The 20690-nt window shown below is 35.2% G+C and overlaps 1 protein-coding gene across 35 annotated transcripts in view; it reads right to left on the bottom strand.

Moving 5' to 3' along the window:
* Positions 1-20690, bottom strand: part of STAG2 (STAG2 cohesin complex component) — a 142097-nt gene that overhangs the window by 36884 nt on the left and 84523 nt on the right. For all 35 annotated transcript variants that reach the window (NM_001042749.2, XM_047441783.1, NM_001441077.1 and 32 more), the window contains 13 exons: positions 20405-20609; positions 18268-18419; positions 16695-16768; positions 15464-15587; positions 14554-14652; positions 14379-14458; positions 9538-9645; positions 7796-7907; positions 4432-4549; positions 3899-4002; positions 2779-2871; positions 2568-2657; positions 1722-1925 (listed from right to left, as the gene is read on the bottom strand). In NM_001042749.2, coding sequence (NP_001036214.1) covers positions 1722-1925; positions 2568-2657; positions 2779-2871; positions 3899-4002; positions 4432-4549; positions 7796-7907; positions 9538-9645; positions 14379-14458; positions 14554-14652; positions 15464-15587; positions 16695-16768; positions 18268-18419; positions 20405-20609 — 1563 coding nt within the window. The remainder of the gene's footprint in view (positions 1-1721; positions 1926-2567; positions 2658-2778; positions 2872-3898; positions 4003-4431; positions 4550-7795; positions 7908-9537; positions 9646-14378; positions 14459-14553; positions 14653-15463; positions 15588-16694; positions 16769-18267; positions 18420-20404; positions 20610-20690) is intronic.

Raw genomic sequence — 20690 nt, 5'->3', positions numbered from 1 at the left:
ACAAATGAACTTTGTCATTCAATACCTAGATCTGGCCAAATTTAAGGCAATATGGCTGGGGAAGTAAGTCAACACAAGTTTATCATAGAAACATCACAACTGAGAGAAAAAACGAAAATGACATTCTTCTTTTTCTTCTAAGTAAACTTGACACAAAATTATAAAGGCATCTATTTTTTCACAGTAATAAATGCACTAGGACAATAAAATACTTAAATGACAAGAAGATCAGAAGGACAATACCTAAAGGACAAAATCTAAGTACCTTAAACATATATCATCATGAAGACATATGACACTAATCACAGATAAACAGGGAAAAACCCTCTGAAAAATGACTAGATATGCTGGTCCCATTTGGATATCAACATCTATTAATATACTTTTCAACTTAGGGTAACTTAACTTTCGAAAAATTTTACCAGTCTTACTACAGGAAACATAAAATTGCTTACACATTACTCAATCTACTGTGTTGAACTCTAGTTCTCTCAAAAAAGCACTTGTTTTTAAACTATAACTCTTCTACAAAGTAATTAAATTTAATTAAACCATTGCTTGATTTTAATTTGTCCTAATCAAAATTATATTCAGCCAAGAGTAGAGCTATTAAAATTTTTAACTAAGAATGTAATCATCGTACATCAACATATTTGCACAAACCTCCAATTAGTAAAACTTAATAAGCCCGGAATAACAATATACACCAAATAAAAGTTAAATGAGTAATTAATAAAACAAGAAAACTAGAAATCACAAAGTCCATATGATCTTACAGCATTAATGATAAAAGTGATGTGGAAAAGGCTAATGGCATTAATTTGACAATTATGAATTTTTATTTTAATCAAAAAAACTGAATGTAAATATATATTTCTGGAAAAAATAACAATCACAACAAAAATACAAGTGTATTTAAGTACTATGCACTAAGCCTCTTTGGAAATACAAGAGAAAACACAGGAAACTCCAACAGTAGCAGCGGCTATAATAATAATAACTTATTAAAGTTTTATAATATCAAAACCCAGACTGGATGTGTGGCTCACGCCTGTAATCCCAGCACTTTGCAAGGCCGAGGTGAGTGGATCACCTGAGGTCAGGAATTCGAGACCAGCCTGGCCAATGTGGTGAAACCCCATCTCTACTAAAAATACAAAAATTAGCCTGGTACAGTGGCACACGCCTATAGTCCCAGCTACTCAGAAGACTGAGGCCGGAGAATCGCTTGAACCTGGGAGGCAGAAGCTGCAGTGAGCCGAGATCGTACCACTGCGCTCCAGCCTGGGCAACAGAGAAAGACTCCGTCTCCAAAAAAAAAAAAAAAACATAATGTCCTTCCCTAACCTACACTGCCAAAACACTTAGAAATACTCTACTTTTTTTAGGCTACCTAGTCTAAATCTAGCTCTCCTTTTCTGTTCCATTAACACCCTATTCCTTAACAGCCCTGGTTCAATAAAAACCAGGTAACTGTTCAGATCATTTCTCAAAACAAAAAAGATGTTAGTTTTGCTTTCACCTTCTCTGAGTCACAGATTCTTACCACTTTCCTATTTTGGTGGAGGAGTAGCCTGATGAGTCATAGAATGAAAAGCCTGAACATCTTTTCAAAATACTGCTAGGGACTATCACCAAGACTTAACACTTGGGTGACTAATTAGCTTACTGCAGTAGAGGGGCTCAACTGACAAAATACTTGTAATAGTTATAATATATACCTCTTGCAGAAAATCTTCAAGAAGCCGGTTAAATTTATCTGCCAATTCATCTATCAGTTGACTTCTTGAAATATCTACTCTGTTGAAGATTGTGAACTCTTCATTACAGAGTGCATGGTAAGTTTTAGAACATGCTTCCAAAACATCTGTATCTGTGTGCTTCTCTACAATATTCCGGATCTGTCGCAATAAGGCATCCAAATGCTGCAAAATAATAATATTTTTCATCAAAACTAAGGCATATATGATAGGTATAAAGTGACTACATGACCATACCACCATGGAAAAAATTTTCAAATACAGTAAGTCTACAACACAGAGCGTACATTTTAAGGTGCTTTTCTAATCATGATAAATAAATACACTGATCCATCCATACTTTTTCCTCAACTTTAAGGGAGATATTACCTACCTCATAGGGCTATGGTGAGAATGCTAACATATACTAAGAGCTTACATTAATCCACAGAACATAGCAAAAGTGTTCAATAAATATTAGTTGATTTTGTCTTATAATTGTTATTATCGTCTATGGCCATACCACCCTGAATGAGCCCAATCTCATCTAATTGTTATTATCTAGTTATCCACCCCCAGTCTCTATAAATGATCAGTGACATAGTCATATAATAGCTAAGAATGAAGGTACAGTTGTGGGCATGAAGCAAAGGGAAGCATCATTACCGCCATTCTGTAAGTCAAACTAAAGTACAGAAGACCTAAGCTATAGGTTTCCTTTCTTAAAATACGTTCCAAAAAAACATTTTAAGAAATATAAACAAACGCTATGATATAATGAACTGAATAATTTTTCTTAAAGGTTTTTTTTACACAAAATAATCTTACCTTTTCTAATCGTCCAGTGGTATATATTTCCAAATCAAAGTACTGAGGCAACTGCAACAAGTTAGTCACCTTTTCTGCATCTACAGAGTACTGTGAAATATAAAGATCACGTTAAAAATATCACAATAAGAAAGCATTATAATATTCTGTGAGGCATTTAGGGAAAAAAAACTCATTTCTTAGTAACACTATGATATTGACACAAACTTACTTTTGCTAATAACTGAGGAAGGGCCACGGCAAAAAGCTCAGTGATTTTTGTCCTATCATCCAACTGTGTCTTCTTCTCCTTTGCTGTAAGCACCTAAAGGAACAGAAAGACTTCTGTATTTATTAAGCCCATTAGCACTGTTAAGTGTTCAAGTTTTAGTTAAAACATACAAAATGATTACTAAAACTATATTTTAAGAGATGGACACAAAAATTTCACTATAAAACATTAACCCTAAAAGTGACATGAAAGAGAAAACTACACATTATAAAAACAAAAAGCCACCTGAAATAACAAAAAAAAATTTGGATAGTCCTATAGGGAAAATCAATATCCAATAAGACTAACCAACTCTACCTTCAGATGGTAGGAGAATCAGTTAAAAATAGGAAATATAGTTTAAGAGCTTATATATAAAATACTGGGATTGACCAGCATTTCTGCTTACTCTAGGCTGTGGGACATGACACATAAGTAACAAATTCAAAACACTAAATTGCTATCAGCAATTAGCAAAAAAGAAACAGAAATTTTTAAAAAACAGAAATAGAAAACACAGAAAGCATCACATTGTCTTTGATAAAATTTTGTTTCAGTTATGCACACACAAACATATTCATGTGTAATACGTCACAATATAAGAATGAATTTTTATGCTTTACAGTCAAAAGTTTGAAAGCCTGTGGAATTGTTGGTATAAAATGCAAGTTCATGTAAACTTTACAATAATGCATTAAAATCTGATTCCAGGAAATAGAAATTTCCCTATTTTAATAAAAAATTATCTCCATTTTTATTTCTGATTTTATTTTAGAAGAAATAGAAAGCAAATCCATAAATAAAACATACAACTGCACCATTCCAAATGGTGTATGCTACATTCAGTCATGAAGGCAGGGACTGTCAATCATATCTCCTGCAGCAACTAAAAAAGTATATTACAGAGAACTCAAATTTCTCAAATTGCTAATGCTTTAAAATTTACCTCTAACAAATTTATAAGCAAAGGTTGTCTGAAAAATAAAACAAAATTGTTTCATGGCTAAAATGGAATTTTTAAAAAGATACTGAAAAAGGAGAAATGGAGTTTAGAATATTGAAAAGACATTGATTGGCATACCCTTTTTCCTGTCCCTCTTCCCACGGGAGGATGACATTCAGCCGCTTGTCTAATGGTACAAAGCATTATTTCAATCAGAGCACTCTCTTGCCTATCTGTTAGTGCTAAAAAAAAAAAAAAAAAAAAAAAAAGTCAGAAAGAGTTAGCTTATTTCTTCTCCCTATATGCCACTTGTAATTATTACATAACAGTTTCTTCTGCCTGTAAACAGAATCTGCCCTAAGGTACTAAAGAAAATCCCATTACTTTATCACAGAAAACATCACCTTCCTAAAACCCTCAGCATCCCAAATCTATCCACCACAGATCCATACATTTGGGTAAAAAAAATAACCCAGATACAAAAAAATAAAGAATGTTGACAGCAATTACATCTTTTTACATAGCATAATATTTATATGAAAACAAAACTATGCACGAAGTAAGATTTTTCTATCAAATTGTCTTAAAACTAAAAGGACAAATAAATGGAATGAGTAAAAATCTACTTACAAAACTGTCTAAACAAAAATATCATAATTAAACATCCTTACCTTCCTCTCCACTAAGTGGCTCTTCCAGTAACAAGCTATTCATACATTCCCAGTCTTTCAGCAGCTCAGTAGCACAGTCCCACATGCTATCCACAAGGTATGCTGCATGCTCATGTAACTAAAATTTAAAAAGAGCAATGTGGTCTTAGACAATTATCATACTAGCCTTAACTCAAAAGAATGGAAACTTTATTGACATCATCTACAAACTCTCAAACAGCAATCTATTTTTTGACGTCAAATAGATGAAAGGACAGAGAAGAAACTGCCTTAGTTTGCTTGCTGTAAGAAAGACGTGTTAGGTAGCATCATTACACATTAACAATTATCATTAAAACATTAATATGAAAAAAATTTTTTATTATTTTTATATAAAATATATATATTTATAATAAATTATATATATTTGGGGGGGTGGCGGAGATGGAGTCTCGCTCTCGCCCAGGCTGTTGGGAAGTGGTGCTATCTCGGCTCACTGCAACCTCTGCCTCCCAGGTTCAAATGATTCACCTGCCTCAGCCTCCCATGTAGCTAGGACTACAGGCATGCACCACCACGCCCGGCTAATTTATGTATTTTTAGTAGAGATGAGGTTTCACCATGTTGGCCAGGCTGGTCTCAAACTCCTGACCTCAGGTGATCCACCCACCTCAGCCTCCAAAAAGTGCTGGGATTACAGGTGTGAGCCACTGCACCCGTCCTGAAAAGTATTTTATAAAAAGATTATATACATACTTACTGCTTATTTGGACCTAATGTATTAGTCAGCTACTCTCAATTCTTAGGTATGCTATGAATTTATTTTAACTGAAGGGGAGTGATAATGGTTAATTAAAACACAAAATGCATGTTTGTCAATTCAATATATAAGCAAATCATTCTCTTCATTATGTGAAGCTTAAATGACCCTACTGTTAGCTGGGCATGGTGGCTCACGCCTGTAATCCCAGCACTCTGGGAGGCCGAGGCAGGCAGATCACCTGAGGTCAGGAGTTCGAGACCAGCCTGGCCAACGTGGCAAAACCCTGTCTTTAGCAAAAATACAAAAATTAGGTGTGGTGATGGGTGCCTGTAATTCCAGCTACTCTGGAGGCTGAGGTGGGAGAATCACTTGAACGTGGGAGGCAGAGATTGGCAGTGAGCCGAGATCACACCACTGCACTCCAGCCTGGGCAATAGAGCGAGACTTTGTATCAAAAAACAACAACAACAAAAAACAAACCCTACTGTTTCCCGACTCCTTTGGCGGGGGGAGGAGGGGGTGTGCAAATCATAATCATTATACAAAAAAAAGCTGTCAAAGCAATTACAAATAATAAAAAATCTAAATCTAAATCCTTTATGAACATAGAGGGAATGCCCTCAAAAACTGGCAAACCGGGCCACGTGCTGTGGTTTATGCCTGTAATCCCAGCACTTTGGGAGGCCAAGGAGGGAGGACTGCTTGGGCCCAAGAGTTGAAGACTAGCCTGGGACACAAGACACCCCTACTGTCTACAAAATTCTAAAATAAACTAGCTGGGTGTGGTGGCACGAAGTTGTAGTCGGAGCTACTAGGGAGGCTGAGGCAAGAGGATCAACTGAACCCACAAGTTCAAGGCTGCAATGAGCTATGATTACGCCACTGCACTTCAGGCTGAGTGACAGAGCAAGACACTGTTGCTTAAAAAAATAAAATAAATAAAATAAAATAAAATATTTGCAAACTGAATCCAACAATATAGAAAAAGAATAACATCATGAACAAGTAGGTTGATTCAACATTTAAAAAGTCATTCAACATAACTCGACACATTAACATAATAAAGGATAAAAATAAAACAATCATCTCAAGTAATGCAGAAGCATTTTACAGAATTCAATTTCCATTCATGTTAGAAACTTTCAGCAAAGAAAAGAATAAAAGGGAACATTCTCAATCGGATTATAAATATCTACAAAACACCTATAGCTAACAATGTAATTAATGTCGAAATATTGGACACTTCTCCCATAAGATCAGGAGCAATCCAAAGATGTCTACTTGAGACAGAGTCTTGCTCTGTCACCCAAGCTGGAGTGCAGCAGCATGATCTTGACTCACTGCAACCTCTGCCTCCCCGGTTCAAGCGATTCTTGTGCCTCAGCCTTCCAAGTAGCTGGGATTACAGGCATGCACCACCATGCCTGGATAATTTTTGTATTTTTAGTAGAGACGGGGTTTTGCCATGTTGGCCAGGCTGGTCTCAAACTCCTGGCCTCAAGTGATCCACCCGCCTCAGCCTCCTCAAGTGGTGAGAGTACAGGCGTCAGCCACCGCACCTAAGCGCAACATTCTACTGAAGGTCTTAGACAATTCAATAAGGCAAGAAAACAAATGAAAAAAAAAATGTTGGAGAGGAAAAGGAAAATTATCTTTATTTACAAATGACCTGATGGTGTAATGTAGAAAATCCTAAAGAATAAAAAACCAATTATATATCCATATATAGAAATAACTAGAAAATTAAAAGGCCTGATCACTAATTAAATAATAGTATGTAATATGAACACCAAAAATAAATTTTGAGCCCTCTCAAAATCTGGCTAACATTGTAGGTTTCCAACTTTAGGGAGACTAGTTTAAGTCTACATCTACAATTGCAATGGCAGGTACCAACATCTGAAATCTTACAATGTTCTAGAGATCTGTGTTAAGTTTTATACAGATTATTTCAGTGTTAACTAAGAATTTATTACCCATCTTTTTACTAGGAAACTGAGGCTTTGAAAGAATAAGTAGCTAAACCAAGGTCACACAAATAGTAAGCAGAGTAGCCCAACTGACAATTAGGATTTTGAACTTTAAAATTAATATTCTCAGCACTATACATAAATCCTACTGTTTGAACATCTTACTAGAAGAAGAAAGTGACCGGGCGCAGTGGCTCATGCCTGTAAATCCCAACACTTTGGGAGGCCAAGGCAGGCGGATCACCTGAGGTCAGGAGTTTAAGACCAGCCTGGTCAACATGGTGAAACCCCGTCTGTACTAAAAATTAGCTGGGCGTGGTGGCACACGCCTGGAAGCCCAGCTACTCGGGAGGCTGAGGCAGGAGAACTGCTTGAACCTGGGAGGCAGAGGCTGCAGTGAGCCAAGATGGCGCCACTGTATTCCAGCCTGGGTGACAGAGCAAGACTCCGTCTCAAAAAAAAAAAAAAAAAAAAAGAAGAAAAGTAGAAAGCATATTTAAAAAAAAAAATTGGGGGAGTGGGGGAGTGGGTGGCTCTCCATTCTATTCACAATTTACTGTGCTACAAGGAATATTTTTTTAAATGTGCCTCATTTTAACCCCTTTTCCAAAATTTTTCGAACCTAAGTATAAAATAAATACTATCAACTAACCTCACTTTCTAGAAAGAAAAAAACCAATGTCTTAACAAGGTTGGCATTTGGACCTTGTCTTCCTCTTCTTTTCATCATTCCATCCTCCTCTGGATCTCTACGACTGAAGAGCCTGTGAAAAAAGTAAAATATTTATTTTACGACAACAACAACAAAAAATTTTCTAATAAAAAAATTAACTGTTTCAATTTCATATCTAAGGATCTAACAAAGGAGTAAAGGAGAACTGGGTAGGTACAATATCATCCAACATGGCACACCACGCAAATAATTGCTATAAACCTTTTTCATTTCATGTTTGATGGTAATTCTAAGTCCTTTTAAACTAATTTCTCAAGTTAATTGTACTGAGTTATAAACTATTTGTTTTTAAAAACCTTACTGTATTTTATATAACTGTTGCCTTCCATAAAAGTAGTACATTGACAAAGCTACACCATTTATGCTAAAAAATCTATGATACATATTCATCTTGAAAACTAAACATATACTTTCCTTCCATCCTTCTGGCAAAATTACCCCAACTTACTGTCCTTTTACTATGGATAGCATGAGCATTTTTCCTCATAAACAACAAAGAGAATTAACACTAAACAGCAATGAATAGAAAACTGTAGTGTAAATGTTTTATACCACCTACTCTTCCTAATAATTGCTGCACCCCCAACAGGCATTTTAATAACATCATAGGAACAAGAAAAGTTTAATCTATATGGCTCAAAAGAGTCTCTTTGAAAGCCATTATATAACAATCTTTGTTTTCTGTGAACAGATATTCACACTTCTACTCATACTACCTAATCTGAGTTAAATAGGATCACAAAAGTAAAGAGACTGTAGAATTCTTGGGATTCTTATGTCAAACTTTATTAAATACTTGAAGAACCTTTTAATATTTTCTAAAGGAAAGGAAAAATAAGTTGAAGACTAAATACAGCCTGTAGTCCCAGCTACTCAGGAGGGTGAGCCATGAGAAGCACCTGAACCCAGGAGGCAGAGGTTGGTTACAGTGAGCTGAGATCGCACCACTGCACACTCCAGCCTGGGCAACAGAGAGAGGCTCTGTCTCAAAAAAAAAAAAGCCTAATTATAGCATAAGCAATATTTAGATGCTGAAGCAGGTAATAAAAGGGTAAACAATTAGGAAGAGATCAGTCTTAATATTATAATATAGTTAGGTATCTTTCTAAGCATGTTTACTGAAAGACATGGGTACATTTCCCTTTTTTTTTTTTTTTTTTTTTTTAGATGGAGTCTCGCTCTGTCGCCCAGGCTGGAGTGCAGTGGCCCAATCTCGGCTCAGTGCAAGCTCCGCCTCCCGAGTTCACGCCATTCTCCTGCCTCAGCCTCCCGAGTAGCTGGGACTACAGGCGCCCGCCACCAGGCCCGGCTGATTTTTTGTATTTTTAGTAGAGACGGGGTTTCACCGTGTTAGCCAGGATGGTCTCGATCTCCTGACCTCGTGATCCACCCGCCTCGGCCTCCCAAAGTGCTGAGATTACAGGCATGAGCCACTGCGCCCAGCCTACATTTCCCTTTAAAGATCTAACTTAAAATAAATCAAAGAACTTAGGAGAAATCTAAACTTTTAAAGGAAAAAGTAAAATGTGAAAGCTTCGATATGATCTGTAGTAATTTTTAAAATAAGTTATATATATATAATCTTAATGTCAAGTATAACATAACAAATTACTGTTATGAAAGTATGCCTTAGAAAATGAGTAACAGATATATAGATTTACTTTTTGTAGAGAAATTCTCCAGCTGCTACTGCTACTGGCCGGTGAGCTGAATAAACCAGATGATAGACATTTTCACAATCTTCTGCAGTGAGAACTTCTTCACTACTCCTAAGAAATAAGCAGTAACAGGTGCTTTTAGTAACGTCCTAATTCTAAGCATATTAACAGTACAAAAACTTATGCTCATACTTTTAAAAAGTTGTAAAGTTTCATGAATTTGTGTTAAAGGAAAAAAAAAACCAAATCAAGCTTATTTAATTACCATCTACCAAAATCTATCAAAGATAAATGGCAGGTAAAATTAAAAGTGAATGCAGAAGGTAAACAAATAAACGTTTAAAAGAATTATGTCACATGGATGCTAACAGAAAAGGAAGACAAAATAATGAAAACCCATATAGAAAGTAAAGGGGCAGCAAGCTAAGAGCTTAGAGTTAAAAATCACAGATAATATAATACTTTCCTTATATTTCATAGTAATATTAAGTCACAACATTACATCAAAATATACTAATGGCCCATTTATATCACATCAATCAAAAATGCTTCATCCACCATGTACTGAACACCATGTAAGGCAATGCAAGTGGTTTTCCCAAATAACTAAAATCTAAGTGCCAAAGATCTTTAACTGCAATCACTGGGGAAAAAAATCTTACTAAAATGTAATGCTCATTTTATTTTTCTTATCTTTAAAGAACAAAATAAGCCTAACAAAATATTTTCGATAAATCATCATCATTAAGGCCCATCAACCACAGTACCCCAGGGTAAACGCTGTTGCATTCTTCCCTTGCAACTGCATTCAGAGTCCTGGCCCCTGGCAGCTCTTTCTCTCCCAATATGCTTCTAGTCTACTGTGATATATATAATCTAGGTTTTTACCATTATATGTAAATTCAAATCATAGGACCACTGCCAGAGGAAAAAAGCCTAAGAATACTGGATAGTTGAAGCACACAGATCCTCTTTACTTTTTGGTTTTCTGTTGTGCTGAAAGCTTCCAGAAGTCTGATGTCTAAGAAGTATTACTTCTTTTTGAGAGAAAAAGAACTAAATTGTTAAAATTCAAGTTTCAAAAGCACACTGATTTCAATTGCTCTTTATATAATATCAGATTGTTCTTGGAAAAATAACTTGTGTGTTTTTAACAAAATAACACTGAATCAGGCTGGGTGTGGTCACTCACACCTGTAATCCCAGCACTTTGGGAGGCTGAAGTGGGTGGATCACTTGAGCCCAGGTGTTCGAGACTAGGCTGGGCAACATGAGACCTCATCTCTACAAAAAACGGAAAGAAAAAAAAAATTAGCCGGACATGGTGGGACTACAGTAGCTATAGTCCCAGCTACTTAGGAGGCTGAGGTGGGAAGATGGATTGAGCCTGGGAGGGCGAGGCTGGAGTGAGCCATGATCATACCACCTGGGTGACAAAGCAAGACCCTGTCTCTAAAAAACAAAACAAAAAAAACACTGAATCAAACAAGTTAAAGTACTGTAACTCTACAGAAGTTCACTCATTTTAACTTTTTGAAAAGGAACGTTTCTAAGAAATTTAAATTATTAGGTATATAGATGGCTGAAAATCAACATGAATGGGTATGTCTATTACCTTTGATAAAAATATCAGAAAGAAGATGTTTCTAGTGTACTGTGGAGGATGGTGGGAAAGAAGCTATAGAAATATATGTAGCATACTGTTACTTTATTTCAGAATTCTTTCAAAATTTTTATATACAACATGTGTGTATAACATTTATGATTTTAAAATATAATTAAAAATTAAAGAATGCAACAGTTAACAGACTGCTCAAGAAATTCCAAGGTAAGTGAGTTCCCTGAATTGTCAATATCTGTAGAACTGCCTTCTTTTTAATTACTGCAATGTTGTCCGATTCACAGAAATGGGAATAGCCACTACCATCTCACTGAGCTGCAGTATTAAATGAAATTATCCATATAAAGTGCTTATATTAGCTATTATCTTACATACTAATTTAATTCTTCCTCTAGTGATATGCACCCTTGGTTGTTTTCAAAATTCTGCTATTACAAACAATGCTTTGTTAGAGAACATGAGCATTTGAAATTCTGACAGATACTGTCAAGTTTTTCTCCAAGGAGCTTAGACCAATTTATACTCCCATCAACAATGTAAAAGGGCCTGTTACGTCATAGCCTCAACAATATAGTGTAATTACCAAACACTTTCTATCTTTGCCAAGCAAACAGATTTAAAAGTCTCACTTTAATATATATGTTTGTAAGTGTGGCCCAACATCTTTTCATATGTTTAAATTCATACTTTTCTGTCAATAATCTGATTTATAATATTTGACTGTTTTCCTATTATTACAGATTTCTTTAATTGATTTGCAGAAATTAACTCCTTTGATGCAAAAATATCTTGCCCAATCTGAGATCTGTTTTCTCAGTTTATGGTATTTTATGCCATACAGACATTTTTAGGTTTTTATATAGTTAATTCATTGATCCTTTTATATCTAGCTTTTGTGTCATGCTCATGAAAGCCTTACATGGTCATTTTAGTGGTGCATATGTGTTCATCTCTATTTTTATTCTGCTTCATTGATCTTTTTTGTCTATTCATGTACCAGGACCAAAATTTTTAAATTACTATGATTTTATAATACATGACTTAAAAATACATTGGGCTAGTCCTCACTCATTAGTTTGTATCATATTCTTCTGGCAACTCTTACATGATAAATTTTCCATATGAAATGTCACAATTTGCTTGCTATGGCCAAAAAAAAAAAATTCCTTTGCCTTTACTATTTACATTGTGGTAAATATACAGAATGGGAAGATTACAAGCCTTTAAATACTGAGTTTTCCTAGGTAAGCTTTCCAAATTCAAGCCTTCTTTTATGTCCCTTAGTTGCATTTTATTAATGTTTCTTTGCATATATCTGGTGGATTTCTTATTTCTAGGTATTTTTATAAAACGTCATATTATTTTGAAATGAGAAGGCTCTGATTTTTAACTCTCTCAACATACCACCCAAGTGCTTGGTATAGAGACATCACTTGATAAATATTTATCCTGAAATGCAGAAAACAAGTGTTGGTGAGGACGTACAGAAATTGGAAATCTTGGCTGGGTGTGGTAGCTCATGCCTGTAATCCCAGCACTTTGGGAGGCCAAGGCAGGTGGATCACCTGAGGTCAGGAGTTCGAGACCAGCCTGGCCAACATGGTGAAACTTCGTCTCTACTAAAAATACAAAAATTACCCAGGCGTGGTGGCAGGCACCTGTAATCCCAGCTATTTGGGAAGCTGAGGCAGGGGAATCGCTTGAACCCGGGAGGTGGAGGTTGCGGTGAGCCGAGATCATGCCACTGCACTCCAGCCTGGGCGACAGAGTGAGACTCCATCTCAGGAAAAAAAAAAAAAAAAGAAATTGGAAATCTTGTACATTGCTGGTGGGAATGTGAAACAGTGCAACCTTTGTAAAAAGCATTATGGCAGTTCCTCAAAAAAAAATTAAACAGAATTACCATATGATCCAGCAATTCCACTTCTGGGTATACATAAAAGAACTGAAAGCAGAGACTCAAACAGATACTTGTACACATCTATGTTCATAGCAGCATTACTGACAATAACTGACAATAACATTTGGAAACAGTCCAAATGTCCATCAATGCAAAAATGGATAAATAAAATGTGGAATATACATATAGTGAAATATTCAGCTATAAACAGGAGTACGTGCTATAATAATGTATGAAACTTGAAGAAATTATGCCAAGTGAAATAAGCCAGATGCAAAAAACAAATATTGTATGATTCCACTTATACGAAATATCTAGAATAGGCAAGTTCATAGAGATAGAAAATAAAACAGTGGTTACCAGGATCTGGGGAAAGGGGACAATGAAGAATCAGTGTTTAATGGGTACAGAGCTCCAGAATAAAGTGATGAAAAGGTTCTGACAATGGATAGTGGTGGCAGTTGTACAACAACGTAAATATAGGTAATGACAGTAAACCATACTTTAAAATGGTTAAAATGGTGAATTTTACATAATCTATATTTTACTACCATTTTTTAAAAAGGAAAAATATGAATAACATCACTATCAGATATTAACACAGAATAGGTCTTAAATTCAGATTGTTTAAAGGTGCTATGAGAAGTATAACAGACATTCTTATAAATGCTCATACTCTAAAAGTGTAACAAAATACAATAAGCATGTTTTTTAATACACTGATGTGCTTATTTCAAGAGCATCAAAAACAGAAAAACAGGAAGGAAATCAATCTGCCAAGAGAATGGGAACACATGAATTCCTAGCTCAGTTAGAATTTCCATATTCGGTCAGGCGCAGTGGCTCACGCCTGTAATCCCAGCACCTTGGGAGGCCAAGGCGGGCGGATCACGAGGTCAGGAGATCGAGACCATCCTGGCTAACACAGTGAAACCCCGTCTCTACTAAAAATACAAAAAATAAGCCAGGCGTCGTGGCGGGCGCCTGTAGTCCCAGCTACTCGGGAGGCTGAGGCAGGAGAATGGCGTGAACCTGGGAGGTGGAGCTTGCAGTGAGCTGAGATCGTACCACTGCACTCCAGCCTGGGGGACAGAGTGAGACTCCGTCTCAGAAAAAAAAAAGAAAAAAAAAAGAATTTCCATATTCTATGGTTCCTTCTTCCTGTGTTTTCTCAACTATACATGAAGAAATTCAACTTCTAGCTGTAAACCTCCATGACGTAAGCTACTAAAATTTAGACCTAGATGAGTCTGAACCAAATACTCTAATATATTATTTAGATATCTGAACATTAGTGCAAATATGCAACAAATACATACTTACTGTAAAACAAGAGTGAGTAATTTTATTGCTTGTACTGCAACATCATATTCTTTGTCAAGGGTCATAGACACAATTCTATCCTAAGGACAAAAAAATTAAAATATTTTTAAAAGGAAAGCAAGAGAAAAGTGTTTGCAAATGACAAGTTATTTGTAAATTCTTAAGTAATACTAACCTTGAACCGACTGGTAAAAAGTTCCAGTTTGGAATTAAGCTCTTTGTTATAATAAAGCCCTTGTAGAGCAGTAAGACATTTGAGTCTTACTTCACCTTGCTAAAAAAAAAAAAAAAAAAAGATGAGACAATGCATTAAAACTCTATGTATTTTCAACTTCAATATTCAAGATGTACACAATATTTTCTACTTTAAAATTTTAAATGTTTCATACCATAGCATTCCTTCAGAAACTATCATGTTTGATAATGCAAAAATAGTAATCAGTACATACATTTATGACTAAATACCTATGGGGTTACTATTTCTGTAGTTCAAAGGATAATTTTTGAAAATTTGTTCAGAACAAATCTATTGTGAAAAACAATAGAAGCATGTGTCACAGTATATTTTCCACTATGGGAAGTAATGTTTGGAAAGAATTATATACAATCAATTTCTTCAAGGCAAGTGAAGAGGCAGCCTAAGAGAATGGTAGTTTAATGAAAACATATTAAAAAGGTCAGAAACCAAGTAGTAAGGTATAATCTGGCTAAGATACAGGTTTGTCAAAAGAGAGGATCAAAATTGAATAATTTTTTTTTTAAGTATATAGCTCTCAGATAACAACAGCGTAATGGTTCTTCTTCGTGCCCTAAGAAATGCCTCACTCCTACTACCTTCATGACTGTAATATTTCAGCAAAAAAATGATTCACCATTAATGGTTAAATCAGTGGCCAGGATTCAAAAATATCTAGCAGACTTTATGTGATAGAAAATAAGTTTTTACAGAGAAGATAGAAAAGAATAAAGGGGAGGCTTCCAGAAATGTGTCACCAGGTATACATACTGGGAGATAACTCATGAATGAGAGGTGCAGACAGCCACGCCGATGTGTAGAAAGAAGCAGTCTGAAGGGCACATCTTACCTTATCATGCATAGTCCAACCAACATATTTTAAATAACTGTCATTAAGAAAGGCATCACTATACATCTTCATCCAAATGCCAATCTCTTCAATGCAAATAGCTCGAATTTCAGCTATCGCATCACTGAATGGGGGAAGGAAAAACGATGCATAATTAGTGCCAATATACCACAAAACTTATGGTTTATTCAAGAGATGCCAAGTACTTCAGATCTACTATGAATATGACATTATCTTATTACTAGGGATTAAAAAATAGAAATGAAGCATGGGCCTGAATGCCAAAAGCTTAGGTGGCAAAGCATAATTATCAACACATAAACATTTAAAATTATATAAAACTACAAACAAAATCCCATCCCCACCTTTTATACCATACCATATCCCAGCCTTTGCTCACACCTGCTGGGCATGGTGTGTTCAGAAGACAGCAGGCACACTTGTCTGGCTAGAGCGTAATTTCCAGGTAAGTATTATTTATACATTACACTGAGGTCAAGCTCAACTGGGATTTGAATGTTAGAATAAATGATTTTAAATTCATCTTGTAAGTACTGGTGAGTCATTGAAGGCAGAGGAATAACACAATAAAAGGATATTTTGGCAAAACTGCAATAATCTCTAGGCATGAGAATGAGGAAACAGACTAAGGTAATGGTGACAATAGAAGTGAAAAGGTAAGAATGGACATGGAGACATTACAAAAAGTAAGCATTAACCTGATTCAGTAACTGCCAAGTTGAGGATATGTGGAAGCTGAATAAAAATACTACCAAAATTTAAGAATAGGTTACAGCATAAATTTATAAGATTACTATTTCTTTCCTCTGTTCATTCAAAACAGCAAAAGAAAATATCTCACTTTAACCTATCCAATTGTTCCCACTGATATTCAATGGAAGGGAAGAGAGTCAGGAGTCAGCACGTGCAGGCTCTACTAACATAGTGCATCCAAAGGCAATTAAGTATTGTGTAGCCCAACTCCAAATAGCAGTAACTTCTACTGGCTGCAAGTCAAGCACAGCATTATCCCATTTTTCAGATGGGAAACACCAAACTCACATGAGTTAAATAACTTGCCCAGAGTGACTCAGTGGCACTAATGGAGTCTAACATTGATTTTACTATAACATTCTTCCTGCTAATTTAGATTCCCTACACCACGAAATATGCAAACTTGCTGAGTAGAAATTACATAATGCTATTTATGAAAAAAACTGTCACAACTTACCGGTATCTATGTACAAACACTCCTTTAAATATTGCATTCATCATATTTTCTATTTCATCTTGATTTTCCTGAAGCTGTAAAAAAACACATCATTTCTTTTCAATTGTAAAGGAAGACAACCAAATGAACACCTGTAAGTTGTTACAAGCACAAAAAAAGCAGAATTCCCCAGTATTTTGGGGAATTTTGAATTATACTAGACAACAGTAACCATATAGAAAAATTAACAGTTATATTACCAGGTAGATAAAGTCCCTTAATACCTGAAATATTTGATTGGGATTTTAATATTTAGCTAGTAGATTTTTTTTCTAATGCTCATAAATTTCCACTAAAGAACTGTAAAGAAGGCCGGGTGCAGTGGCTCATGCCTGTAATCTCAGCACTCGGGGAGGCCAAGACAGACGGATCACTTGAGGTCAGGAGTTCGAGACCAGCCTGGCCAACATGGCAAAACCCCGACTCTACTAAAAATACAAAAATTAGCCAGGCATGGTGGCACAAGCCTATAATTCCAGCTACTGAGGAGGCTGAGGCAGGAGCTTGAACCTGGGAGGCAGAGGTTGCAGTCAGCTGAGATAGTGCCACTGTACTCCAGCCTGGGAGACAGAGTGAGATTCTGCCTCCAAAAAAAACACTGTAAAGAAATCTGTAATGTAGTTTGCTACTACATATCACTTACTATATAGCATATACATAAATTAAAGGGAAAAAGTATCAACACTTTATTTCAAATTATATGAAAAATATGAGGAATTTAGACATGGGTGAAATATGATCAGGATTTTTCTTAGTCAATTCTTGAGTCTGGATATGTTTTAAAGTTATTAACTATTTCAGAAATAACCAATTTAAAATTAGCTACTAATTCCCCTCCCCAAAAAAATTCAAGATCAGGTCAATAATTCGTAGATAACCATGATAACTACTGAATTCAACTGCATTACTAATATTTTTGAAAAATCAGACTTTGCCTATTTGATATGAAAACAAACATCTCCATTATGAGATAGCAAAATATTTTATCACCAATGAAGAAAGAATTTAAATTACAGCCGCAGCATCAAAAGATTTTATTTACTGTTATTTCGCATAAGGCTGAAAAAATTATTTTCCTCATTCAGAGTTGAATTTGGTGGTCAGTCATTAATGTTAAACAAATGCCTTCTACTGTATAAAAAACACTGATTTAGATGCCAATAAACAGCTTATGTTATTTTTCAAAGTGATTTTATTTTCCAAAGTGATTTTAATTGTGAAATCTCTTTTCATCCTGACAAAAGGTTTTTCACCGTAGAGATGAATAATACTAAAGCTTAAGACAACTTGTCAGACTAACCCCAGTCCCCTTACTTAAAGCCACTCTTAATACTAGTCCACGCAGGTTGAAAATAAGAAAACAGTATTGTTGGCACGGATATTCATCAGAATTTTGTTGGGCAAATAGTTTGAAATGTTATTTACATTTAAATATTTCAAAAACAATTATCTGAGCCACTAGCAAAGTTATATCCTAATTAATGGTGACCAAGTTGGTCACACAATAGCCTAAATATTCAATATAAAAGTTTACCTCTTTCCGCTTTTGTAGCAGGAGTTCTAGCCTCTCATTGGCTCGTTTTCCAATCATTTTATTCCGTTCTGCTTCATATTGTCTTTGTGTATTATCCATATTAATGCTAAGATTTAGTGCCACATTCACCAAAGCTGTCATCAACTTCATAGCTATTTTTAAAGAGTAAAAGTATGGTGAAACTAATCTAACAGACACAAAAATTTACAATTTAAGATCAAATAGAAATATTAAGCAGAAATGAGCTAATCTGCTTCTAACAAAAGAAAGATGCAGCTGCTACAAATGACAATAAAATAACATAAAATAAAATAACTTTTCAGGAATTATCTCCTAATCCTCACAATGGCCCTCTCAAAGGTAAGTATTATACCCATTTCATTCACGGCAAAATTGAAGCTCAGGGAAATTTTAAAATTTGCCTCAGTTCATATAAGCAGTCAAACCAGGATTCAAACCAAGGCAATCTGACTCCAGTCTATCCTTAAATCCCATTATTCTATAATATGTCCTCTAAAATAATCATTTTCATAGATCATGATTCACCTTCTAAAGTAAATTTTAGTTCACACAGAAGTTATTTAGCTATTCAGTAATTAAAAGGAACTTGATGGCTTTACATCAAATTATATTTTATGAAAATGTTGAGGAATTTTATCAGTATTTGCTTTCCTTTCATTTTACTCTATAACATGACTGATGAAACTGTGAACAGATCTCCATGGAAAGTCAAAAGAACAAAGGGCAAAATGTGACTTAATTAAAGTGCTTTTTCATAAAACTTCCTCCAGATCTCTACCTTCTGTTACTAAACTCTTACTCCTGATACAAGATTCTTATTGCCTGGGATTTAAAATTTATTAACTGAAAGATCTGATCACTTTTTGCTTTCTTTAGCTTACTCCAGACTACTTCTCAGACTTGGTGCATTGCATGATACAACAACAATAAAACTACATCTTAAATTTGTGGCTATTGGCTCTCTTAAAGAAAGATTTCCCAATTTTCTGCTCTAAGTTAATTTCATGCTCCCAGCAAACCAGTCTGTCACTCTGATCTAAAAGTATCCATCTTGCACCATAATCCCTGTTTTAATTTACTTTAGCCATCAAGTTATTGACATTGCTACCACAAGTGCATAAAGCAAGATCACATTCATATTTTCTGACTTCAAATCTAAAAACAAAAACAACATACGGGAAACTGCATTTTCTCTTTAATAATGAAGGACGTAGAAGCATATCTTTAATCATAGATTTAATTCTTTGAGAAAATCTTATAAATAAAAAACAAACCAACAGAGAATATAAAGTTTTTTTAGTTAAAAATCAAAATATCATTAAGATTCAGAAGATTCAGAATACTATCATAACAATTAATGCCTATTTTATTTATTGAAACTCAAAAGCAACAAATTCAACAGCAGTGTATCACCAATTTTACCTTAAGCACAAAAGAGGAACTAACAGATGTTATGAGGTATAAAAATATACCTTATTTCATTAAACTTTAAAGATCAAAGAATTTGCCCCAGCCTAAAGTTACCCAGAAACATAAGAAAAATCAATTTTTTGCAGTGTGACTGAAAGAACAGGCATCATCTAGTAGGGGCCATCCTACCTGGAGAGGCAACGCACACCAAAGACAAACTAAATGGCATCAGGATCACATATCCAAAATGACTGTGATGATATCTCCAAATCTGCTGTCAATATCTTCCCTGGTAACATATCTTTCAAAAACCCAATACATACCTATCATCCAATTTTCCCTTCTTGTGGCATGGTATTTTTCAATAATCCAATGCATACCTATAGTCCAATTTTCCCTTGCTGTGGCATAGTATTTTTCAAGAACCCAACACATACCTATTGTCCAATTCTCCCCTGCTGTGGCACAGTATGCATAGTATACAAGAAAATTACCAAATACTAGTTATAGTATACCTTCACAAAATCAAAACTGAAATTATCATCCCATTTCCAGGAATTCGCAGGAGGGATGGGGGAGTGTCCTCTTAGTGGTCACTTTATAAATAAAATTAATTTGTATCTCTGTTATTTCCTTTCTCTTTAAATGAGAATCTTTTTCATCTCAAATCTAAGACAATATGCAGAAAATATTTCTAAATACCGACCTGCCAGGGTGCTTGTATGTCGAAATGCTCTGACTTGTGAGTCAGACAATCCTGTAAGAAGTGAAATGACTGTATCCATCATATACTCATCATATATGATACTATATTGACATTGCCGTACTAACACGCCAATGAATTCACAAAAACTGGATTTGAACTTCTTCCACTGAGGACCAGCCATGGTAAGTGGATAATCTCCACTATCCTAAAACAAAAATTTAAAACAGCAATTTCATTTAGAATGCATGACTTAACATATCACTTGCTTTTGAAATACCCTAGACAA

Source organism: Homo sapiens, chromosome X (genome assembly GCF_000001405.40).
Source record: "Homo sapiens chromosome X, GRCh38.p14 Primary Assembly".
NCBI classification, from domain to species: domain Eukaryota; kingdom Metazoa; phylum Chordata; class Mammalia; order Primates; family Hominidae; genus Homo; species Homo sapiens.
This window is presented reverse-complemented; position numbering and strand designations above follow the sequence as displayed.